Here is a 26,651-nt window from a genome sequence, read left to right as displayed (position 1 = left end):
TCCCAGGACCACTCTTTGAGAACCATGGGTCTAGACTAAGGTCCAAGAACTTCCCACCCACTTAAGTATTCATTCATTCATTCCACAAATATTTACTGGGTACTCACTACATGCCAGACACTGTCCTGGGTGCTGGGAATTCATGAGTGAACAAAACAATGTCCTGACCTCATGCAGCTCACATTCTCATAGGAGAGGCAGACCATACACAAATAGACAAGTAAACTTACACTATAATGTCAGGTAGTAGTAAGTACTAGTGGAAAAAAATGAAGCACTGTGTCACCAGACATTTGCACATGTGGGATGTGGTTTGCCTGGGAAGCCTTATTCAGCAAGCCTGAGATTTGCTAATTTAAGTGTTTCACAATAAAATAAGAGCTTTTTAGAAAAATAATATTTTTTATTTGAGACAGAGTTTCACTCTTGTTGCCCAGGCTGGAGTGCAATGACATGATGTCAGCTCACTGCAACCTTCGCCTCCCGGGTTCAAGCGATTCTCCAGCCTCAGCCTCCCAAGTAGCTGGCTGGGATTACAGGCGCACACCACCACGCTCAGCTAATTTTTTATTTTTAGTAGAGATATGGTTTCACCATGTTGGTCAGGCTGGTCTCGAACTCCTGATCTCAGGTGATCCACCCACCTCGGCCTCCAAAAGTGCTGGGATTACAGGCGTGAGCCACCGCACCCAGCCTTAGAAAAACAACTTAATACCAAAATGCTTGCAGACACAGGGTGGTGGAAGAGGGACCTGCCCTAGAAGAGCTGAGAGCTTACCACTGAGGCTGAATTGCTTTCCAACTACTCTAGGAAGAGTAAACCTCAGAGGTCATCTCACTTAGGGCCTCCACCCCTCCAATGAGCCAACCACACCATCTGTTTACACACATTATCACTTCTGCAACCCCTTGCACCCATACAGCACATTCACATACACTATGTATACATGAGCCTTGTACAACTCCTGGAGGGTAGATACTATTCACCTATTTTACACATGAGGAAACTGAGCCTGGGAGAAGTTAACAAGTGTCACCCCTATTATGTAATACATGGTTTATTGCACCGCATGAATTTTTACCAAGTCTTTAACCTCTGATATTCCACCATGTAAAGAGCAACTGGGCCAGGCACAGTGGCACACACCTGAAGCCAGGAGTTCCAGAACAGCCTGGGCAACAAAGCAAGATTACTACATCGCCATTAAAAAAAAAAAAATAGCAATATCAGGCTGGACAACATAATGAGACCCTGTCTCTACAAAAAAAAAATAAATAAATAAAAAATTAAGGAGGCTCAAAGGGTGAGGCAGGAGAATGGCTTAAGCCCAGGAGACAGAGGCTGCAGCGAGCCATGACTACACCACTGCACTCCAGCCTGGACAACGGAGCAAGACTCTGCCTCTCCAAAAAAAAAAAAAAAAAAAATTTGCCAGGTATGGTGGTGTAAGCCTGTGGTCCCAGCTACTCAGGAGGCTAAAGCAGGAGGATCACTTGAGGCCAGGTGTTTTGAGGCTGCAGTGAGCTATAATTGTGCCACTGCACTTCAGCCTCCAGCCTGGACAACAAAGTAAGACCATGTCTCCAAATAAGTAAAAAGAAGAGAAACTGGATGAAACGTTGAAAACAGAGGTAAAGTTTCTTCCTCCAAAAATGCCCTGCTCCTCATATCGCCTCTTCTCAAACAGCAAGTTAAACCTGTGAAGAAGACAAAAGAGAGATGGGACTGACGCTTAGTAGGTGCCAATATTTGGAGATATTGGCCCCATAAACATTTATGGAGACTACTCTGCACCCAGCCCAGTTCTAAACAGTGGGGATACAGAGAGGAAGAAGAAAGACCAAGCCCTTGCCCTCTGGGACCTTCTGTTCTAGTGGGCCACCATCAACACAATACCAAGAGACTATTCACCACATCTACCCTGAAAGAGTTAACTACAAACTTCGAGCTTCCTGAGACTTCATCAGTAGCATCAGCCCAACAACAGAGCCCTGTGTTCAATCTTGACATGGGCCTTAAAACATCCCTTTCAGGAGAAGAAAGAAGCTTTATGATGCTGCCCCTTCCCCCCACCCATTTTACAGATGGAAAAGTAAACCCAGGGCCCAGAAGCCACTCCCTCTGAATCTTACAATGAGTCCGTGGTGGGACAGGAGAAAAGGCAGCTCTCCTGTCTTCCTACACAGCCCTGGCCGCAGCCTGGCCCCATTCTCTCTTTTTATATCCCAGGAGGCCTCCTTGAACAACAGCCACACATTTGTGGCGACCGACCAACACAAAAGCCAGCCGGGGAAGTGACTATTTCAGGACGAAAGGGGCATATTTAGCAATGGTCCTCGGCGGCCACCCAAAGTCCGGCCAGCCCCAAGTCGTCCGCCAAGCCCAAGCCCCACATGGAGCTTCCTCTCCTCCCTGTTTGCCTTGCCAGCACAGTTTCCACCAAGGTTTTAAAAAAGAAGTGGAAGTTCCCTTCTGCCTGACTGGCCAGCACATTCCACTGACTCAGACTGTTCTGGGCACCACGGAGAAGACACTGTTCATTTTCCCTGGGCTGAGAACTGGCCCACATCCGGACCTGTCGCCGGCAGGAGGGGGCACTTGGCGGCTCGGCACAAGCAAATGAATGGCGTGCTATTTTTAATGCTTAGTTCCTGTCTTTATTCCAGAAGGCTGGGCACCTGTGCCAGGGTTGCTGCAAGTGTGGTTTGCAGACCACCCGCATCAGAAACACCTGGGCGCTTCCGGGAAATTCAGATTCTGGGGTCCCACCCCAAACCTAGGAGTCAATCACCAGGAGTAGGGCTCAGGAGTTTTGATCTTTAACCAGCTTTTCAAGTGATTCTTTTGTAAAATAAGGTTTGAGAATCATTGACAATCTGGGTCTGTATTCATTCATTCTTTTATTCGCTCAGCAATTCCTGAGTGCCCCCAATATGCACTGGGCTATAGAAGTAGGAATACAAAAATAAATGGCACATGCTCTTGGCCTTAGGGCCCAAGGGGAGGCATGACACAGTGTGAAGTGCTAAAGACAGAGCTAAGGTACTCTGGGAGCTTAAAGGTGGAGGAATTCAATCCTGCCGGGGTGTCAGGGGCAGTTTTACAGAGGAGGGGAGCGTGGAGCTGAGGCCAAGAACAATCATTCCCTATCTTTGCCGATCTTTGGCATTCTGTTTGGCTCGGCCAAAGCCAAGATGGTATACAATCTGTCCTCACCAACCCAACACCCTTCTGACTTCTTGCAGGTACTCAGTGCACATCTGATGAATGAACAGAAACCGAGAATGGATTGGACACTGGAAACAGGAGCTAGGAAGCCACTCAGAACAGTTTTATGTGCCCCTATTGGCTAAGAACATTGGCTCTGGAGTCAGTCTCAGATGGACTCTGATCCAATTTCCCTCTTGAGTTACCCGATCACAGGCAAGTTGGCCTTTCTAAGCCTCACTCTTCACACTTGCAAAAGAGAGACAATAGCTACTTCCCATAGTTGTAGTGAAGATTAAACCTGCAGATAAAGCATCTACATCCAGCACATAGCCGGGCACATGGTATGCACTTGAAAAAGTTAAGATTTGTTCCATAGTAATAATAAAAGACCTGAAATTAAATCCAAGTTCCAGTACCAACCGGCTTTGATAAATCCATCCATCTTGGGCCTTGGGTGGTTTCTCATCTGCAAAATGAGAGGCTTAGACCAGAACCTCTCTAAAATATTTTCTACCAATAAGACTTAATTTCTCTAAAGGTGAGAAGAGGCTTTTGTCCCCAGGAACTGTCCTGGACTGATGGGCATCTGCCCTCAGACTCACAGCATCTGAGATGCCCATCCTGCACCTGCAAGCCAGGTGAAAATCATGCCTCTTCTCTGATGGGGGATATGCTTCGGGATGTTCTGCTGTCCTCTGGGGTCTCCCTTTTCACTCTGTGCTTCCTCTTTGTATCTTTTAACATTTAGAGAGTTCAGTGGGCAGCACTCTCCCCAGCCCCAACCCAGAAGCAGGCACGGGACTGTAGGGAAGTTGACCTCCTGGCCCTCTCTTTACGCTAAAGCAGTCATCAGCTTCCCCTAAAGGCAAGCGGGGGAAAGCCTGAACACAGCCAGAAACAAAGAGCTCCAACACCTTAGGTCAGACGCAAACACACCCTTGAGAAGCTGCAGCTGGGTAGAAGGCATTCTCCCAGGGGCCGCTCCTCCTCTTCCTCTGCCCTCCTACCTTCTCTGCACAACACAGTTGCCCCCAAGAGCCTCAGAGTTAGGTGTGGGCCTTTGACTTCACTACCCAGTCTTGTCCAGCTTCATCAGCAGGCAGCAAGCTGTCCCTCCATAAAAACTGCACTGAACTCGCTACCATCCAGTGTCTGCATTTACTCTAAGACTAGCTCAGCATCACTCACACACACAAACACACACACACACACGAGCGTCATGAAGGCACAACCCTTTCACCCTTCCACGCACACTCCCCTGCCTAAAGATGCCTACATCTAGAACACCGCCACCAAGACATGGAGTTACATCAGAAGAGAAGGGAAAACTCTCCCGTACTGCATCCGCCTCTAAACCAAGCTTGGCCAACCCATGGCCCGCATGCAGCCCACCATGGCTTTGAATGCAGACCAACACAAATTCATAAACTTTCTTAAAACATTTTGAGATTTTTTGTGATTTTTTTTTTTTTAGCTCATCAGCTATTGTTAGTGTTGGTGTATTTTATGTGGGGCCCAAGACAATTCTTCTTCCAGTGTGGCCCAGGGAAACCAAAAGATTGGACACCCCTGCTCTAAACTGTCCCTTGATCCTGCCCGTCTTTGCATTTCCAGTCATACACTCATTCACCCTGGTTGGTCTACACCTGGGGTCTGCTGATTTTTTCTGGAAAGAGCCAGATAGTACATAAGTACATATTTTAGTCTTTGCAGGCCATATGGTCTCTGCAGCAACTACTCAGGGCTGGCATGATTGTGTGAAAGCAACCACAAACAATGCATAAATGAAAAGTATGGCTGTGTTCCACAAAAAAAAAAAAAAAAAAAAAAAACTATTTACAGACACTGACATTTGAATTTCACAGAATTTCCACATATCACAGCATATATTCTTTTGATTTTTTCAACCATTTAATAAGGTACAAACCATTCTTAGCTCTCTGGGTATACAGAAGCAGATGGCAAGCCATTGCTTTGTGATCCCTGGTCTACACCCCTGCCACCTCCCTCCTAGACTGTAGCAATGCTCTCCTACCCAGCCTTCCTGATGCCTCTCACTCCGCCTTTTAAATCCATCCCGCTCACTCCTACTCTTCCTAAAAGTTCCACTTTAATCATCTCATTCCTCTTCTAAAAATGGTCAAACACCTTGGCTGGCACTTGAAGCCCATCTCTGTAGGGCTCCAGGACACCTTTCCACCCTTGTCTCCTAACAACCTGAACTGCCGAAACCCATCCTCTTAAATTTTGCACATAAACTGAATCCATCAGGCCGGGCACGGTGGCTCATGCCTGTAATCTCAGCCCTTTGGGAGGCCATGGTGGGTGGATCACCTGAGGTCAGGAGTTCAAGACCAGCCTGGCCAACATGGTGAAAACCTGTCTCTACTAAAAACACAAAATTAGCCAAGCGTGGTGGTGGGCTCCTGTCATCCCAGCTACCTGGGAGGCTGAGGCAGGAAAATTGCTTGAATCTGGGCGGCAGAGGTTGCAGTGAGCCAAGATCGCACCATTGCACTCCAGCCTGGGAAACAGAGCAAGACTCCGCCTCAAAAAAAAAAAAAGAAAAAGAAAAAAAAAACACTGAATCCATCTTTAGCTATTTGTCCCAGATCTCTTCCTTAAAACCTTCCCTGATCACCCAGCTCCAACTTAGTCTCAATTCCTATAGCATCTGTTTATGCCATTCACTTAGCCATTGAAGGGCAGGATACAATTTGCAGGGAGATAAGTGTAAATAGATCATTCCAGTAGAATAAAATGAGTAGAATATTTGTTCACAAGGTTACAAATCGCTGGAGAACAAAGCAACCAGCTGGGGAAAAATCAGGAGAAGTCTCCTTAAAGGATTTAACCCTTGAACCAGGTCTTGAAGGTTGAATAGGGATTCATGAGCCATTATGAGGTCAGGATTTCGGAGCAGGGAAAAAGACCCATCTCAGGCTGCTCAGGCTGGAAAGATTCGTGCAAAGGCATGGGGTAGGGCCGAGGGTGAATGAGTGGGCAGGTGGCAGGATATTGGATCAGGAAGACTGTAGCACGCTCCGTAAGGCTGTCGGGGGGAGTCCTGGAATGGTGCTGAGACACAGAGTAGGCCTTCAGGAAATATGTCCTGGGACGACCATCAAAACTGGGAGGGATTCCATTTCTCATTCCTGGAAGAGTCGGTCACTCCAAGCCTCAAAAAGTCAACAAACAAGAGCATCAAAGGGTCCATGGAGGGAAATCACTGGTCTTTAATCTCCCTGTCTTCTCTTTCAGCCCACACCCACAGCTCCAAGAAGAACTGGGTGTGAGGTCTCAACAGGCCCAAGCCTCTGTTTTCTGCTATGTAACCTGCAACTCCACTTAGCCATCTTGGAAAATGTTACATACAAGTTAAGGCTTTATTTCTGTCCTAAGATCTTGTAACTAGGACAAAACAGTAAAAGTAACCTTTTTTTTTTTAAAGAAAAAAGACTTGGCCAGGCACAGTGGTTCATGCCTATAATCCTACCACTTTGGGAGGCCAAGCCAGGTGGATCACCTGAGGTCGGGAGTTCAAGACCAGCCTGACCAACATGGAGAAACCCCGTCTCTACTAAAATACAAAATTAGCCGGGCATAGTGGCCCGTGCCTGTAATCCCAGCTACTCGGGAGGCTGAGGCAGGAGAATCACTTGAACTGGGGAGGTGGAGGTTGCAGTGAGCTGAGATGGCGCCATTGCACTCCAGCCTGTACAACAAGAGCGAAACTCCATCTCAAAAACAAAAAAAGAAAAAGAAAAAGAAAAAAGAGTTGTTCTTTTCTACCAATTGTAAAATCCTTTTCATTTCTCTAAGACATCTTTTTTTTTTTTTTTGGAACTTCACTGGCTTATGTTTGATATCTTAAAGGCGCAGATATTTTGTAACCCTCCCCCTTTACCATTTAAAAGAATTATAAAAATAGAAGTCCCAAAAAAAATCTTAAATGCAACCGCCACAGGGTCTTCCATTGATGCCAATTCCTACAGGCTTCAGTGGCAAGTATGTCTGAGCTGGTGGGAGCTTTGAAGTCAACTCTTTGAAGTGAGCCTGGTACTTTCTCAATACTAAAGGAAGTAAAAATGGAAGCTAAAAAATGAGGAGAAAGAACCAAAAAAGGGAAGAAGGCCCCTTTGAACACAAGAGCTCCCTGATTTCATCCCTTATCCAGAGTAACTCCAGACCAACTTGATTCTACGTATATCAGCAAAACACTTTTTATATATGAAACAAAGAAAAGACAGTGTCATCTCCCATAAGATTATAATTTATTAAAACAAGGTAAGACAAAAAAACAAACTCTAATACAACAATGAATGTGCAAAACACCATTAGAGAAACAGAAGAGGTAAGACACCAATGCTTGGAGAGAAGCTACTACAGTCAGGCCCTGTGTAAGGTACCCCAGCCACACCAGCTCCTGGGGGTTAGGTATCCTCTGCCCCATTTTGTAAGGCACTGAGAACATAAATTGACCCACTCAAGATCACTCCCCAGGTAAACAGATGGGTGAGACTGGAACCCAGGTCAAGCCACCATGTTCTTCCTATAGGGTAATTCCAAGAGGAGAGAAAGTATACCTGGCTGGGGTAGGGGGAAGGACCATGAGAGGCTTCATGAACAAGGGGGCCTTTCAGATGGAAATGGGATGACCAGGACTTTAGCTGGGAAGGAAGAACACTCCATGCAGGAGGCTCAAACACCCAGTTCCAGGAGAGAAAACAACGGGCAGGTTGGCTGAACTGGAACTCCGGCTACATCTCAGGGAATGAGGCTGGAAAAGGAGACATGGTAGAAGGTGCGGAAAGGCAAGGTAAAATGTGGCAGAAAGCAGCAGCCACCAAGGGAAGGGACATAACATCTGGGAAGGACGTTAAGAGCCTAGCACAGGACAGGTGTGGTGGCCCACGCCTGTAATCGCAGCACTCTGGGAGGCCAAGATGGGAAGATCGCTTAAGCCCAAGAGTTCAAGACCAGCCTGAGCAACACAGTGAGAACCCATCTCCACCACACACACACACACAAAAAAAATTTAAATTAGCCAGGCATGGTGGCACTATAGTCCTAGCTACTGGGGAGGCTAAGGAAGAAGAATCACTTCAGCCCAAGAGTTCCAAGCTGCAGTGAGCTATGACTGCACCACTGCACTCCAGCCTGGGTGATAGAGTGAGACCCTGTCTCAAAAATAAATAAATAAGGCCAGGCACAGTGGCTCACACCTGTAATCCCAGCACTTTGGGAGGCCGAGGCAGGGGGATCACAAGGTCAGGAGTTCAAGACCAGCCTGGCCAACATGCTCAAAATACAAAAATTAGCTGGGCGTGGTAGCGGGCCCCTGTAATCCCAGCTACTCAGGAGGCTGAAGCAGGAAAATCACCTGAACCCAGGAGGCAGAGGTTGTAGTGAGCTGAGATCATGCCACTGCACTCCAGCGTGGGTGACAGAGTGAGACTCCATCTCAAGAACTAACTAACTAACTAACTAAATAAATAAATAATGCTAGCATGTAACTGCTAGTTGTTAACAAAGACAGAAAAATCTTGGAGGTTCAATAGTTTCCAACTATTCTTCATGTTCTCCTCCTTCAGCTGTCTCAGCTGGTATACACCCACTAGCTCCCCTGTATGCAAAGGAACCTGGCCAAACGACTGACAGCCATCACTTCCCCTTCACTGCACCTCACCTATGCTTGCTTAATGTGTAAAACCCACATAAAATTTTTGGAGGTGAGATTCTTCCATGCTGAGAGCACTGACTCCTGGCCCTAATTTGCTGAAATCTCATATTCTCATTAATTATTCCAGCAAGGGCCTTAGAATTCTCAGAATTACCTAAAAACTAGGGCACACTGCACTTTAGACAACGTTCAACATGAGAGTCAAAAAAAACTTTGAATCCCTGGCCTAAGGATTAAGGTTCAGTGTCTCCACAACCATCATGTGAACACTGAACTTCACAGTTTCACCCAAATTGCATCAGTACAATAATTGACTTTTTTCACACCAACTTTACTAACACCCCCTCTGGGTTACAGGAGAAAGGGTCTAATTAGATTAAGGCTCAGAAAGATTACACACCTTGCCCAAGTTCACAGAACTGGTGGGGAGAGAGTCTTTGCCACTCCCTAAATGATGCTGGTTTATATAATGCATCGTTGCCTAGAATCTAAATACTGTCTATTAATTTGGGTCTCATGCTGGGAAATTACAAATTCAGTCATGATATACATGATTCTTGTCAAGTAAAAGGCTCTAAATATATCCATGCACAAATTAATCCGAGGTTCCAACATGTCAATACTAAAGACAGCTGAAATAATTACTGCTGCAAAAATAAATTAGGAACACAGAATATGTAAAGATATTTAAGTTTCTCAATTTAAAGTCCTGTAAACACTTTTTTTTCTTTTTTTAGTTTTTAAAAATTACAGCCTGAGCAACGTGGTGAAACCCCATCTCTACAAAAAATATAAAAATTAGCTGGGCATGGTGGCATGTGCCTGTAGTCCCAACTACTTGGGAGGCTGAGGCAGGAGGATTACTTGAGCCCAGGAGGTCAAGGCTGCAGTGAGCCATGATCGAGCCACTGCACTCCAGCCTGGGTGACAGAGTAAGATCCTGTCTCAAAAATAGAAATATGCTACATGGCTTATAAATTATAAACTATGGTTTTTTAAAGTTTAATATGTTTTAAATATAATTTTGTCATGTAAAATATATATAAGAAAACAGCTGCAAGCTGTCTTAAATATAATACTCTAAAGATTTGCAAAGTGAATGGGTCAACTGAAAATGCAAGAAAAACCTATGAGACATTTTCAGCTACGTGGGTTTACTTTTAAATCACATATACATAGAAATTTTTTAAATAATAAACCATCACCCAGAAAAAAAGGAGAAGAGAAACTGAACTTGAAAGTGAAAAGATGTCAAATATCTTTTTTTTTTTTAAAGGAAAAACCGATCAAGGGAATTGGGAAAGGATCCTTTCACTATGAGTCCAAAAGTCCTAAGTCTGGAAATTTTCAAGTTACAGTTGATCAGTTCATACTGAAGAAGCCATAAACAGAAAATGACCTATTGGCAGCAAAGGAAAAGTGACTTGACAGTAATAGCAGTAGTCTGTGCTAGTAAACACTGTGCTAAGCACTTACAGTTATCTCTCCATCTTACAGATGAGAAAACTGAGGTAAGCAGTTCATGGGAAATGGATCAAAGGGCAGGACGATGGGTGGGAGTTTGGACTGCAGGGAGCATCTGCTAAACAAGGTCACCATCACAGCAGCTGCACCTCCGGGGATCTCAGGAGAAGCTGGACCTCATGTGGGATGCCCACATTTTAGAATAGAGACTGCCAGTAAAGGCCAGGACAGGAATGGCCAAGGCCCGCAGGGAACAGATCAGATAGCTGGGGACATTTAACCCAGAGAACATACCAAAGGAAATGAGAGAGACATACGTAGCTCCCTGTGTGTGAGCCCAGAGGAACCAAACAGAGCCAGTGGGCACAAGGTGAAGCCTGGAGACCACCCCCATCGTAAGACTGTTCTGACCAGCAGAACCACGTTAAAATGAAATGGTATCTATGAACACATATATCACTTAAATTAATTTGGACATTCAAGTACCATCATCATTTTTACTGTAGCCACAAGCCATTTATACTATTATCTATTTTTTTATTTAAATTGACCTGCATATTTTTTACTGAAATAAAATTAGCTTCACCCTATGTAATACTATCCAAGAAACCATGGGGTTTTAATGGGCTTCATTGTTTTATGGGCTTTTTCCTAATACATATTAAAATAGATGACTATTAATGTTCATCTGTGCAACATTTAAAATCATCCTGCACACCAGTAGCGCAGTATATCAACACATTCAGAAACACAGATCAAAAAGAGTCAAGAAAAACAGATCACTGGCGTTGGGAATGGACAAAAGCCAATGATCTTCTGTTTCTATGTGAACACTCCTGAATCTCTGTGCATTTCCAAATGGGTAAGATATATATTGCTATCTCTATTCAAATGATTTTTAGGATTGTTGGAAAAAATACACCCCAGTACAAAGCACAATCCCAAGGATCTAGTAGTTTGATACTTCTTGCCACCTGCCATGGTTTGAATGTCTGTCCCCTCCAAAACTCATGTTGAAATTTAATTGCCATTGTAACAGTATTAACAGATGGGATCTCAGAGAGCTGATTAGGCCATTAGGACTCCACCCTCATGGGTGGGGTTGGTGCCATTATAAAAGGGCAAGTTCAGCCCTCTTTCTTTGCCCTTCTGTACTTCTGCCATGGGATAGCACAGCAAGAAGGCCCTGGCCAGATGCTGGCACCTTGATACGAGACTTCCCAGCCTCCAGAACTGTGAACCAGTGAATTTCTGCTCACCCCTTACTCAGTCTTGGGGCTGGGCACAGTGGCTTACACCTGTAATCCCAGCAGTTTGGGAGGATGAGGTGAGTGGATCACCTGAGGTCAGGAGCTCAAGACCAGCCTGGCCAACATGGTGAAACCCCGTCTGTACAAAAATACAAAAATTAGCCAGGCATGATGGCAGGTGCCTGTAATCCCAAGTACTCAAAAGGCTGAAGCAGAAGAACCGCTTGAACCCGGGAGACGGAGGTTGCAGTGAGCCAAGATCATGCCACTGCACTCCAGCCTGGGTGACAGAGTGAGACTCTGTCTCAAAAAAAAAAAAAAAAAAAAATGGCCAGGCGTGGTAGCTCACACCTGTAATCCCAGCACTTTGGGAGGCTGAGGCAGGTAGATCATGAGGTCAAGAGATCGAGACCATCCTGGACAACATGGTGAAACCCCGTCTCTACTGAAAATACAAAAATTAGCTGGGCGTGATGCATCTGTAGTCCCAGCTACTGGAGAGGCTGAGGCAGGAGAATTGCTTGAACCCGGGAGGTGGAGGTTGCAGTGAGCCAAGATGGCGCCACTGCACTCCAGCCTGCACAACAGAGCGAGACTCCATCTCAAAAAAAAAAAAAAAAAAAGGCTGGGTGCGGTGGCTCACACCTGTAATCCCAGCACTTTGGGAGGCCGAGGCGGGAGGATCACGAGGTCGAGACCATCCTGGCTAACACGGTGAAACCCCGTCTCTACTAAAAATACAAAAAATTAGCCGGGCGTGGTGGCAGGAGCCTGTAGTCCCAGCTACTCGGGAGGCTGACACAGGAGAATGGCGTGAACCCGGGAGGCGGAGGGTGCAGTGAGCCAAGATAGCGCCACTGCACTCCAGCCTGGGCAGAAGAGTGAGACTCCATCTCAAAAAAAAAAAATTACTCAGTCTCAGGTATTCTGTTACAGCAGCAAAAGCAGACTAAGATATCACCTCTACTAATGTTTTTCACATTGTTTGATAGAAAGAGTTCAATCAATGGCCACTGTTATTATGAGCTTATTATATCTGTTCGGAACCCCATAGAATGTTCCCTGCACTGGAAGAAAAGTGAACTAGAGAGTATCTAACCCTTCTTTTCACTCATCTGTAGTTCTAGTGAACCAATAATTATGCAATCCCAGGATAACCAAGTCCCTCTACCTCTCAGAAAATAAGTAATAATATACTTTAACAGCAATTTGTACAATTATGTGACATTCAGACCAACTAAAGGTCCTATCATACAGCACTAAATTATCAACTTCCCTCTGAATTTGAAAATGTCAAAGCCATTTTTAATTAAAGAATATAAAAATAGTTCTGTCCTCCAAACAATAATGAATGATATTTGCTGTTGTTGATAAATTGCCAGAAGATAAATAATGAAGTATACTTCAATAATCCCATTTAAGAAATTTTCCACACAGAATAATACATAGAACAAAAACTCTTAGCAATGGCACGTTCACATTTAAAATCAGATCACCAGCAGGAGCAAAAACAAAAGGCCCATGGAGAAATCCCCTCGCATAAGCGTATTACTCAGGTGAATTAAACTATACTTGCTGAGGGGATTCAGGTAGTGAAATAAAAATAATTTAAATAGTGTGAGTACTACTCCACCCACACTATGGAGATGAGACTAAGCTGGGAGATCTAAATCTACTGATCTACTGAGTCCCAACCCAATTCCTGTGTGCCTTTTTTTTTTTTTTTTTTTGGAGACAGAGTCTTGCCTGTCACCCAGGCTGGAATGCAGTGGTGCAATCTCAGCTCACTGCAACCTCCGCCTCCTGCGTTCCAGCAGTTCTCCTGCCCAGCCTCCCTAGTAGCTGGGATTACAGGCGCCCACCACCACACCTGGCTAATTTTTATATTTTTAGTAGACATGGGCTTTCACCATGTTGGCCAGGCTGGTCTCGAACTCGTGACCTCAAGTGATCCACCCACCTCAGCCTCCCCAAAATGCTGGGATTACAGGCATGAGCCACCGCGCCCAGCCCCTTGTGCCATTTCTCAACATCCTCCTGGTGAGCTAACCTTTAAGGATATGGATTTTCCATACAGGTAGCCCCTAAATACCATATTTTATTGGATGCCCAACCAAAGATATGGCACTTTTTTCAACCACAAAAGGACCAACTGGCTGAGGAGAGCTTATTGAGATATGGTGAATGTTTCTCAATGTGGCAGATAAATATCACTTTTGTTCATTATATTTTGGGATGATCCAAGCAATGATTTTCACTGATGATTTTGACTAAGTATCATTTCTCCCACACCACTGACTTTTCAGGGAGAACCAACTACAAATGAGATGCAAGTCCACGACATTAGCTGTTTCCTTGAACAAGAACTTGGCATATTTAATGGTGACTTTGGTCCAAAACCAAAATAAGTATTATACAGTCAAGTTGCATTTGTTCACCATCATTGGATAACTGGCTTTCCATAAACAAATTAATTGTCAATGCAAGGCCAGGCGCAGAGGCCTGTAATCCCAGCACTTTGGGAGGCTGAGGTGGGCGGATCACGAGGTCAGGAGATCAAGACCATCCTGGCTAACATGGTGAAACCCCGTCTCTACTAAAAATACAAAAAAAATTAGCCGGGGGTGGTGGCAGGCGCCTGTAGCCCCATCTACTCGGGAGGCTGAGGCAGGAGAATGGCGTGAACCCAGGAGGCGGAGCTTGCAGTGAGCCAAGATTGCGCCATTGCACTTCAGCCTGGGCACCAGAGCGAGACTCCATCTCCAAAAAAAAAAAAAAAAAAAAATTATCAATGTAGTTTTTATCACAGCCATTTAGAACTGAGAAGATTTGGGCCAGGTGCAGTGCCTCATGCCTGTAATCTCAGCACTTTGGGAGGCCAAGGCAGGTGGATTCTTGAGGTCAGGAGTTCAAGACCAGTCTGGCCAACATGGTGAAATCCCATCTCTACTAAAAACACAAAAATTAGCTGGGCATGGTGGCAGGCGCCTGTAATCCCAGCTACTCGGGAGGCTGAGGCAGGAGAATCGCTTTATCCCGGGAGGCGGAGGTTGCAATTAGCCGAGATCACCCCACTGCACTCCAGCCTAGGCATCAGAGCGAGACTCCATCTGAAAAAAAAAAAAAAGAACATTTGAAAATGGGTACACATCTTATTCTTAACTGGTGTCACCTTCTTTGCATCTCCTAGGGTGATTTCAAGGTTGGATTCAAAGATCACTTCCTCTCCAGAGCTGTCCTGGAATTCTCCCTGGGGCAGATTTGGAATGTCAAGGAACATAAAAATAAGAGTATCAGCAGACATCAGGATATACCAGGCTGTGTGCAAAGGCAGTTTCCATGCCTTTTCTCATTTAATCTTCACAAGAGACCTCTGAGTGTAGAACTTACTTGATCTACATTTCACACATGAGCAAAGTGAGGATTAGGGAGGAGAGGGACCCAGCCCATGCTCCTGGAGAAAGTAAGGGCAGGGCCAGATTCCGTGCATGGACCATCCTGGCTCTGTGTTCCTCTGCCTGAGCTCGCTCTTCTATCTTAAAATGGATCACGTGAGCTCTTGCCGTCACTACAGTGCAAACTCCCTACAGCCAAGGTCCATGTCTGTATTAGTCTGTTCTCATGCTGCAAATGAAGACATACCTGAGACTGGGTAATTTATAAAGGAAAGAGGCTTAATTGACTCACAGTTCCACATGGCTGGCGAGGCCTCACAATCACGGTGGAAGGGGAAGGAGGCGCAAAGTCACATCTTACATGGTGGCAGGCAAGAGGGCTTGTGCAGGGGAACTCCCATTTATAAAACCATCAGCTCTCGTGAGACTTATTCACTACCACCAGAATAGTATGGGAGAAACCACCCCCCCATTCAATTATCTCCACCTGGTCCCACCCTTGAAACATGGGGATTACAATTCAAGGTGAAATTTAGGTGGGGACACAGCCAAACCATAGCAATGTCTTTTCATCTACCCATTCCCAGCAACCTGCACAGTTCCTGACCTATACCAGCTGATTTTAAAATGTTCATTCAGTGTTCCCGCTGCCTAAAGCAGGCCATTCATTCAGTCAATAAATCAATCAATCTAGCCATCGCTAACATGTCTATCTCAGCCCTGTTGCCTCTCCAAATGAGGAATAAAAGAAATGATGGAAATCTGTATGTATTACACTGTGTCATCTTCCTAAACTGAGTACTCTGAATGTAATATTGCCCTGATCTCCTAAGCAGGCCCAGTCATATAATTAGCAGACTGTTCATATTGGGCTGGATTAATATTTTTCGGGGCCTATTGAGACATGGGCCTTCTGTATTCTCATTAGAAACTAAGCCCGTCCCCAAGGGCTATGGAGGTGTTGGAGCGCACGCCTCCCCTTTTTTCAGTTTCTCCTATCCTATTTCCACCCTATCATAGCTTTTTGCAGGCCTCTCCTATTCCTTCTAATATCCTGCTTATCTAGATAGGAGACTAGAAGAACTGCACTTGTTGGACCAATCTGTAAAACATGAATGAAAAGACTGTCCTCTGAGAAAAACAAGAAGGCATGCTTTGGGGAACTTCTATTCTCCTTGCTTGTTCGGGTTTCTTTTTCCTGTGGTTTGCCTCTTGGTGCAGAGCAGTGGTTTGGATAATTGCTGTTGCCTGGCCTGTCAAATCCAGGGGGAAAGAAAAAGAACACTTCCTAGGATAAGACTCTCTTCTCTTTCAAATTTCCAAATAAATTCACAGTCAGAGGGCCCTTCCCTGCCTAAGAAAGTCTGAAACTTTCTTTCCTGGACAATAGTCTGTAAAGAGTGAAAGCACATCCTATCTCCAGGTCCTACCAGGGGACCTCCGAGGAGGGACTTTGAAAGTGCAAGCAAGTCTGGCATTGAGGAAGTCATCCGCACCATTGGCAGCGGCATTGCTTTCCTTTCCTTCCCCCCATTGTCCGCAGAATGGTGTCTCCTCCAGGCCGGTGAGGAAGGTTCCAGGCCGGAGGCTCTGTAATTGCTCTGGTGGAGGGAAGGGGTGAGTTTGATCACAGGAAAGGGACTCCTTTCCAGGAGGCCTCCTAATCCCTTCTCTCTCCAGAGGAGAGAAAAAAGGAAGGGGCGGGGTTGGGGACAGACTCCTTCTACTTCCTTCTTTTCTGTATTCCCCACTGCAGGTTTCAGATTTTCTAAACCAAAACTGAAGATTTGCATTATTCTGTCTGTGTCCAAAGTTAATTCCCTTTTTCATTGAAACTCTGGGAGGTACCCACAATCATTATTTAATCGTGACTCATTTAACCATTTAATTGTGACCCTGGAAGGTGTCCACAACTTCATGGAAAACCATTTGTCAAGAATACGACTGGAAGGCTGGGGGCGGTGGCTCACGCCTGTAATCCCAGCACTTTGGGAGGCCGAGGCAGGCGGATCACCTGAGGTCAGGAGTTCCAGATGAGCCTGGCCAACATGGTGAAACACCATCTCTACTACAAATAAAAAAATTAGTTGGACATAGTGGCTCAAGCCTGTAATCCTAGCTACTTGGGAGGCTGAGGCAGGAGAATTGCTTGAACCTGGGAGGCGGAGGTTGCAGTGAGCCAAGATGGCACCACCGCACTCCAGCCTGGGCGACACAGCGAGACTCAGTCTCAATAATAATAATAATAATAATAATAATAATAATAATAATAATAATAATACGACTGGATAATTCCTATAAAACCAGCCCCTGACTAGTTTCCCAGGAAACAGTCACAGTGGAGAGGGGAGATCTGGATTCGACTCAGGCTCTTCTGTTGCACCACCCTGTGCCCTGGGGCTGACTTAACTCCTGAACCTCAGCCCACTGCCTGCAGAGCAATGGCGGGGACCCATTAGGGTAACTACATATTTATGATACTTAATGTATAAAATACACAAGCTTTCCAAGTGGAAAGTCTTCGAGGACATCCCTTGTGTTTACACTCATCCCTGAAGAGTTACTTCAGTCTATCTCAGAGCACTGGAGGAGGAGTGGGGATTCTCACTTTTTGCTTTTATGCATCTACATTATTTAAGTACTTGCTGCAATACGCATTACTTTGGTTTTTTTTGTTATTGCTTTGTTTTGACAGGGTCTCACTCTGCCACCCAGGCTAGAGTGCAGTGGCATGACTATAGAGCTCACTGCAGTCTCAAATTTCTGGACTCAAACTATCCTCTTCCCCAGCCTCCTAAGTAGCTGGGACTACAGGTGCACACCACCGTGCCCAGCTATGTATTACTTTTGAATTTAAGAGAAGGGTTTTCATGTTTCAAAAACAAGTCAAGAGTGACAATTCCTTATCCTGCTCAATAACATGAAGGCCAGCATGGTATAGTGGTTAAACACCAGGATTCTGAAGTTCAGCTGCCTGGGTTCAAATCCCAGACCTCACTTGGCAAATGCCTAGCCTCAGGAGTGTCATTCCACTTCTCTCTGCCTTCTTCTCTCCACCCTGTAACAGGGGTGACAATAACACAATGGATGGTTGGGGTGGGTTAGTAAGGTAATGTGTATAACATTCTTAGAACAGACCTGGCATAGTAAGCACCCCATAGGGTCTACCTCGGTATCATCTATAAACATTACTTATAAGTAAAACAATGCATGAAAAGGGCTTTGTAACCTATACTATGCCACACAAATAGGTCACCACAGAGAAAGACACTTACTTTTAAAAGTTTTTTAATCTAACAGAGGATATACAATTTACAAACAGGAAAAAGACTTACAGATGTTTCTAGAACATGTAAACGTGAATCTGTGTAATGGGAAAACACTGAGGGGTACCCCAGGTGGGGGAATGAAGACAAGAAGAAGGCAGATTTCGGCATGGGGTCCTGGGAGAGCCACCGCCTCCCAGGAATGACACACACTGAGCGGGCTTAGAGGAGGGAGGACTCAGAAACCAAAGCAGTTGGCCAGGCGCAGTGACTCACATCTGTAATCCCATCACTTTGGGAGGCAGAGGCAGGCAGATCACCTGAGGTCGGGAGTTCGAGACCAGCCTGACCAACATGGAGAAACCGCTTTTCCACTAAAAATACAAAATTAGCCAGGCATGGTGGTGCATGCCTGTAGTCCCAGCTACTCGGGAGGCTGAGGCAGGAGAATCGTTTGAACCTGGGAAGAAGAGGTTGCAGTAAGATGAGATCGCACCATTGCACTCCAGCCTGGGCAACAAGAGTGAAGCTCTGTCTCAAAAAAAAAAAAAAAAAAAAAAAAAAAGGTAGTTGAGGAAAACAGGTCTCAGCCCCACTGGTGCTGTGGAGAACCTCTTCCTTCAGTTTCCCTATTAAATTTGCAGCTCAGAGCCGGGCGCAGTGGCTCACGCCTGTAATCCTAGCACTTTGGAAGGTCAAGGTGGGTGAATCACCTGAGGTCAGGAGTTCGAGACCATCCTGACCAACATGGCAAAACCCTGTCTCTACTAAAAATACAAAAATTAGATGGGCGAGACTCAGTTCTCGGGCCCGTGGTGGGCGCCTGTAATCCCAGCTACTCAGGAGGCTGAGGCAGGAGAATTGCTTGAACCCAGGAGGCGGTGGTTGCAGTGAACTGAGATCTCACCACTGCACTCTAGCCTGGGCGACAGAGTAAGACTCTGTCTCTAAATAAATAAATAAATAAATACATTTGCAGCTCGGGCTTCGTAGTGGGCTTCATTCCTCACTCCTTGCTCAGCAGGAAAACATGCTGAGGATTCTCAGGGAGCAGGAAAGGCTCGGGCAGACTCTGCCTAAACAGGCAATGCCCAAGTTCAGCCCATGGTGAGCTGACCCTGCAGCTCCGACTGCTGCTGGGCTGCTGCCCGGTGTCAGCCCAGCTGTTCGGACCCTGCTGTATCCTCTCCCCACAAAAGGTCCAGCCCTTCTCACTTTCTGAACCAACCTAGCCCTTAGGAGAAGAGACCTTCAGGTCCTTAAGGAAGGGCCATGACAAAGCCAGGGTTCAAGGGCCTTCACCACCTTCCCTGACTCACAAAATTATACATGAAGAAGAAACAGGACCCATTTGATGCACAGTTAAAATGAGGGTAGAGGGGTGGGGAAAAGAGCCCGTGTACTTTGGAGACCCTGCCCCACATAAAAACTAAAAACAGAAGGAAACACAAGCTGGGAGCAGCACTTAAAGGCCTAAAAAATGATTAAGTCACCTCTAAAACGAAACAACTTTAGGCACCCACTTGAGAGCTGGACTTTGAAGAAGCAGAAAATCAACTCTCAGGCAGAAAAAAAAAATCACTGAGAATCAAAACTAAAGCCAAAATATGAGCTCTTTTTAAAAACACACACACACACACACACACACACATAAGCTGAGAACTTTCTACAACAAATGCCAGATTTTAGCTTGGGAGAAAAACAGAAGCCTTTGGATAAAATAAACAGAAGGGCGAAAAAGTTCCCCTCACATAAACCAAGGGGAACCTCCTTCCCCAGATCAAGTTCTGACCTTTATGTGAACTCAAAATAACTAGCTCATGATTTCACAAAGCAAAAGGAATGGCAAGCATTTTGAATGATGCTAAAAATCTTAGTTCTTCTCTGGCTTTTTGTTAGGCAGCCAAGTGTATCAGTCAGAGCAAAAGTAGCCTAAAAATGTGCACTTCCCTCTCTGGGAAAGACTGGTGAGGCCATCACAAACGGCCACCCCCCAGCAGCCTGTTGGGACACTGCCCATATATGTGAAAACCAGAATTTTTAATGAGAACTGAGCAGGGAAGGCCAATTACCTTTCATTCATTCATTCATTCAACAAATATTTACTGACTACCTACTATGTGCCAGTCACTATTTTAGAGCAGTGCGAGAAAGAGACCAAAACCCTCCTTTTCAGGAGATAACCTCTCCAAAGTTAGGGGTTTTTTCTTTTGTTCTTGTTGTTCTTGTTGTTGTTGTTTTTGAGATGGAGTCTTGCTCTGTTGCCCAGCCTGGAGTGCATTGGTGCAATCTCAGCTCACTGCAACCTCCACCTCCCAAATTCAAGCGATTCTCCTGCCTCAGCCTCCCAAGTAGCTGGGATTACAGACGTGTGCCACCACGCCCAGCTAATTTTTATATTTTTAATAGAGACAAGGTTTCACCACATTGGCCAGGCTGGTCTCAAACTCCCGACCTCAGGTGATCCACCCACCTCGGCCTCCCAAAGTGCTGGGATTACAGGCATGAGCCACTGCATCCAGATCAAAGTTGGGTTTTGAAATATAGGCATCAGTTCTCTTTTTTAACAACTAAATGGACATCTAAGATATTCCCTGACACCCTCATTCATACAAATCTGCTCTTACCTTGCTCCTGCTTCTGCATAGCTAGTAGTCTGGAATGCATGACAACTCTACTGCCCCTGCCTCTATCCAGGCAGAGACAAAGATAACCTGCCCAGGAACAAATCTTAGCCCCAGGCTGATAAAGAATAGCTCTACCTAAGTATGCACCTGTTGGAAAAGTTGGCAGGGAGGGGATGATTAAATGGGAGAATATGAGAAAGTGCTTCAGAAACAAAGCTGTCCAAGGGCAAAGCAGTCTTCTTGTTCGATCTCTCTTCCTTGACGCTGCTCCAGCACCTTGTCCAACCTCGTAGGCAATTTTCTATCTCCACATTGACAAGGAGACAAACAGTTGCTCAATTACCTGCCAATGTTGTTGATAATGAGATAATGATCCTTTAACAATAACAACAAAAGAACAACAAGCACTGTTTTTTTTGGTTTTTTTTTTGAGATGGAGTCTCGCTCTGTCGCCCAGGCTGGAGTGCAGTGGCATGATCTCAGCTCACTGCAAGCTCCGCCTCCTGGGTTCACGCCATTCTCCTGCCTCAGCCTCCCAAGTAGCTGGTACTACAGGCGCCCGCCACTACGCCCAGCTAATTATTTGTATTTTTAGTAGAGACGGGGTTTCACCGTTTTAGCCAGGATGGTCTCGATCTCCTGACCTCATGATCCGCCCGCCTCGGCCTCCCAAAGTGCTGGGATTACAGGCATGAGCCACCGCGCCTGGCCTGCCAGGCACTTTTTTAAGAAACCTAGAAGTTTGGCCGGGCATGGTAGTTCATGCCTGTAGTCCCAGCACTTTGTGAGGCCGAGGCAGGCAGATCACTTGAGTCCAGGAGTTAGAAACCAGCCTGGGAAACATAGCAAAACCCACCAAAAAAAAAAAAAATTAGCCAGGCATGGTGGTGTATGTCTGTAGTCCTAGCTACTCAGGAGGCTGAGGTGGGGGGATCGTTTGAGCCCAAGGGCTGAGCCAAGATCACACCACTGCACTCCAGTCTGGGCAACAGGGTGAGATCCTGACTCAAAAGAAAAAAAAAAAAAAAAAAAACTATAAGTTGGTGCCATTATGATCCCAATTTTACAGAGATGAGAAGACCAAGATAAAGAAAGTTAAGGAACATGTCCAAAGTCACACAACATGGAGTTGTTGTGTGAACATAAAGCATTCGGCCCTTAGTAATAAGTAGGGGGGGTATTTTTCCCCAATAATAAGTCCTCCTGAAGCAGGCAGCCCACCCAGGACACTTGCAGCCTCTCAAGGCCCCTCTGGGGTGGGACTCGCACCTGTGTGAGAGGTACATAACAGAGAGGTGGTGAGAGCAAATGCTGGTGCCAGGATCCCAGCTCTGTACTTAGTGTGTGGCCTGAACAGGTCAGGTGCCTTTCCTCAGACTGTTTCCTCATCCACCGAACAGAGATCATGATAGTATCTCCCTTACAGGATTACTGTGCATGACACAGCACTGCCTGTGTTACTATCAGCAGCAGCAGAACCATTACTGCAGCACCTCTGAGCACAGCATCCACACCCCAGTCATGCCAGAGTCAATCCCCCATAGAGGGCTTTTCCAGGAGCCCCACCGGTGACAACAGCCTGCAATCATTTGCCAACACAGGGTCAGGTGGCCACTCCTATGTGTGCGTGAAACTGAGAAGCAGGCTTGTGTTAGAAAGGAGAAGAGGGCCAGGCACAGTGGCTCATGCCTGTAATCCCAGCATTTTGGGAGGCCGAGGTAGGCGGATCACCTGAGGTCAGGAGTTCGAGATCAGACTGGCCAACATAGTGAAATCCTGTCTCTACTAAAAATACAAAATTAGCCAGGTGTGGTGGTACATGCCTGTAATCCCAGCTACTTGGGAGGCTGAGGCAGAAGAATCGCTTGAACGATTGATAGCGCCATTGCACTCCAGCCTGGGCAACAAGAGCAAAACTCCGTCTCCAAAAAAAAGAAAGAAAGGAGAAGAAGAGATTGAGATTAAGAGGAAGCCAGTAGTGTCCGCCATGGTGGCAGAGCCAGGACTGGTCCCCAAGCAGCACACTGCACACAAGAGCAATTTGGGGGCAGCCTGAGCAGGTAGCAGCCTCTGCACCCTCAAAGGAACAAAGTCTCAGCCCCAGGAACAAATCTCAGCCCCTTCAGAGGCCCGCTAAGAAGCCACCTATCACACAGGACTTGAAAGCCATGCATTATTCTGAAAGAGTAGAGATGAGGAAGAAAAGCAGGCTAGAAGCTGGAGCTGGGGGATCCTGGCTGCTCAAAGGAAGCAGATCCCCTAATCAATCTCTACAATAACAAATTCGTTGAGGTGATGGTTCTAATAGAAACACTAAACAACCTAGAAGCTTCTTCCAAGCTTACTAAAATTAACAGGAGCCCCTAAAAGAATCTGCCATTACCTCACTGGCTTCCGACTTCTTCAATCAAACCTGCATCTTTCCAACTGTGCGTGTGGGTAGAGCAAATGCTTGTTTTTGGAACACACTGGTTTATTTTGTTGTTTGTGTGGCAACATGAGTTTGGATCTTTAGAAAAAAAAAACAGCTTCTGTTTCTATAAGTTATAGAAACGTGGCAGCTCAAGAGAGCTAGTCTTTGTTTACAGTACACCATCCACACTTTAATGGAAAAGAGAGTTTTCCTGGAGTTTGCTTCCTGGCTAAAAACAGGACATCTCGAAAACATTTTTCAAAAAATAAAATTGCATTCAAATATTATTTCGTCAATCTACCTCTTGAATTCTCAGTAACCATAGCCCCCAATCACTTTAAATTTTACTAATGGCAAAAATCTACTTTATAGACCTAGAGGGGAAAAAATAGGCATATCTTCACTTTCGAAAGTGTGATGTATTACAGTTAATCCGAACAGCAAGCTAATTGGGGGCCAATCACTCCGTTTACCAGGGGAGTTCACTTAACAAAACCTCCCTTCCACAGAGGCTTCCCAGAACCCCTTTTCCATAGAGCGCCCCATTCACCATGCTCAAAGTTCCCTTATAGCTTCAATCAAACAGGTTATGATGATTCCTTAATGCAATTCGGGTTTGAATCCGGCAGCAGCAGGTATGGTGGGTAAGAGCACAGATTCTTGAAGCCAAGACCCATGGCTCAGCTTCACCACCTGCTAGGTGTGACCTTGGGTCAATTACTTATCCTTTCTTTGCCTCACCTGTAAATCAGACTTGATAACTAACAGTAGCTACCTCATCAGGCGGCTGGGAGGAAGCATTTGGCACAGTACTTGTCCCAGAGTAAGACCTATGGAAGTGTGCACTACCTTGTCACCTAGGAGACCATAACCCTGTGAGGGCAGGAATGATGTGTCTTGCTCCTGCTCTATCCCAGGTGCACAGAGCACAACCTTCAGTATTTGTTACAGGACCATATTCTGTTCCTACTCTGTGCCAGACACTGTCTTAAGTGCTGAAGATGCATCAGTCAACTAACAGACCAGCATCCCCCTGTAGCCTCCATTCTAATTCAGGGAGGGGCAGTGTCATATATTAGAGCCAGAGCTATGGGTAAAAAGCAGAGCAGCCAGGCGCAGTGGCTCACGCCTGTAATCCCAGCACTTTGGGAGGCCAAGGCAGGTGGATCACCTGAGGTCAGGAGTTCCAGACCAGCCTGGCCAACATGATGAAACCCCACCTCTACTAAAAATACAAAAAATTAGCCGGATGTGGTGGCGGGCACCTGTGTTCTAGCTACTCGGGAGGCTGAGGCAGGAGAATTGCTTGAACCCGGGAGGCAGAGGTTGCAGTGAGCTGAGATCACGCCATTGCTCTACAGCCTGGGCAATGGACAGAGTGAGACTCTGCCTCAAAAAAAAAAAAAAAAAAAAAAAAAAGGCACAGCACAGTAGGGAGCGATCAGGAGTACTGATCGGGAGGAGCTATTATAAAACAGCTGATCAGGGCCGGCCTCTCTGTAGGGTGGAAGAAGTGGGGAGAGCCCCACGTTGTGCCTGGGAAGAAGGCCCATGCAAAGCCCAGAGGCAGGCATGAACGTGACGTGTTCTAGAAACTACCAGGGCCAGTGTGGCTCTGCAGAGGGGGCAGAGGAGGCACAAAATGAAGAGGCCAGGGAGCTGCCGGGGGCAGATCGTACAGGCCTTTGGGAGGATCTTGCCTTTTCCCCTCGGCGTGCCAGGGAATCACTGCGGGGCTTTGAGCAGAGGAGCAACATGATCTGACTTCAGTTTTTAAAAAAGATAATTCTGGTGGCCTCATAGAAATAGACTGAAGAGGGACAAGGGCAGAAGTGGGGAGACCAGGAAGAGAGCCCCGCACTAATCCAGGTGAGAGACGATGGTGGCTTGGACCAGAGCGGTGGCTGGGGAGAGGTGAGAAGTAGTAAGGTTCTGGGTTTGCTTTGAAGATTGAACCCACAGACTGGCAGATGGACTGAATATGAGGTTTGAGAGTCAGGAGTCAAGGAAGACCCAAGGCTGGGTAAAGTGGCTCACACCCGTAATCCTAGCACTTTAGCAGGCCAAGGCAGGAGGATCGCTTGAGGCCAGGAGTTCTCAAGACCAACCTGGGCAACATAGCGAGATCCCATCTCTACCAAAAAAAAAATTGTTTTAATTAGATGAGTGTGATGGTACACATCTGTAGTCCCAGCTATTCAGGAGGTGGAGGCAGGAGGATTGCTTGAGCCCAAGAGGTCAAGGTGCAGTGAGCTATGATCACACCACTGCACACCAGAGACCCTGTCTCTTTTGGTTTTGGTTTTGTTTTAAAAAAAGGCTGGGTGTGGTAGCTCATGCCTGTAATCCTAGCACTTTGGGAGTCAGAGGCAGGTGGGTCACTTGAGGCCAGTAGTTGAAGACCAGCCTGGTCAACATGGTGAAAGCCTATCTCTACTAAAAATACAAAAATTAGCCAGGCATGGTGGCACATGCCTGTAATCCCAGCTACTCGGGAGGCTGAGGCAGGAGAATCACTTGAACCCGGGAGGCGGAGGCTGCAGCGAGCCGAGATCGTGCCATTGCACTCCAGCCTGGGTGACAGAGCAAGACTTGGTCTCAAAAGAAAAAAAAAAAAAGGCAGGAAGACCCAAAAGTTTTGGGTGTGATCACCTAAAAGGATGAAGCAGTCATGAACTGTGGTGAAGAAAACTGGCTAGAACCATTGGCAGAAGTAGTTTCTTGTTTTGTGGGTGTTTTGCTGGGGTGTTGGGGAGCTTTCTTTAATAGTCATTGTGATCAATATGCTTCTTCCCTACGTCTGGCTTCCAAAAGGAAAGTTTTTTTTCCCTCAAAACTCCAGGCTCCCATCTGCCCCTCCACACAGTTCTCCCCCAGGGCTCAGGAGTGATTTCTCTCACTCAGGTGGTCTGTTCTTCCACCTAGAAGTATTATGGGGGCTACCGCTGCCACCACCTCCACCACCTGCCTCGACCCACGTGAGAAGGCCTCTGGGTACCCAAGGCTGCCCGTGACTGGCCTGGTACATCCACCTAATCTCAGCTTCATATCAGAAAGCTAATGCTGCCCCACAACTAAGCTGCATTCTCCAAGACTGTATCAGGAGTAAAGGTGATATTCTCATCTCCACCTTCTTTACACTGTGCCTCTCTTAAGTGGTTCCGAAATCTGAAAAACAGGTGTGCTGTTTAAACTCCAATCATAAGCACCTCAGGACATTTAAAAGAACAACTAACGTTTACCCAGAGCTTTTATTAGCCCACTGGAACTTCCTAATAACCTAACACAGTCAGTTAATTAGCAAATGATGCCTAAGCACCTATTATTAAGCACTCACAGCCG

The 26,651-nt window shown here is 46.1% G+C and overlaps 1 protein-coding gene across 4 annotated transcripts in view, besides 2 other annotated features; it reads right to left on the bottom strand.

The window, feature by feature from the left end:
• PTPRJ (protein tyrosine phosphatase receptor type J) overlaps positions 1 to 26,651 on the bottom strand; it is a 190,281-nt gene that overhangs the window by 87,001 nt on the left and 76,629 nt on the right. The gene's annotated exons all lie outside the window — the stretch shown is intronic.
• Positions 12,334 to 12,509: a silencer, noted in NCBI's record as "fragment chr11:48092882-48093057 (GRCh37/hg19 assembly coordinates)". NCBI's record gives its function as "represses an EF-1alpha promoter that drives an FKBP-Casp9 reporter gene in an ReSE screen in HepG2 liver carcinoma cells {active_cell/tissue: HepG2}" and the evidence as "EXISTENCE:reporter gene assay evidence [ECO:0000049][PMID:32094911]".
• Positions 22,188 to 22,482: an enhancer, noted in NCBI's record as "tiled region #12058; K562 Activating DNase matched - State 5:Enh". NCBI's record gives its function as "activates a minimal TATA promoter and a strong SV40 promoter by Sharpr-MPRA in K562 cells {active_cell/tissue: K562}" and the evidence as "EXISTENCE:reporter gene assay evidence [ECO:0000049][PMID:27701403]".

This window comes from Homo sapiens, chromosome 11 (assembly GCF_000001405.40).
Source record: "Homo sapiens chromosome 11, GRCh38.p14 Primary Assembly".
Classification (NCBI taxonomy): Eukaryota; Metazoa; Chordata; class Mammalia; order Primates; family Hominidae; genus Homo; species Homo sapiens.
Note: the sequence above shows the minus strand (reverse complement) of the source record. Positions and strands in the feature narration are given on the sequence as shown.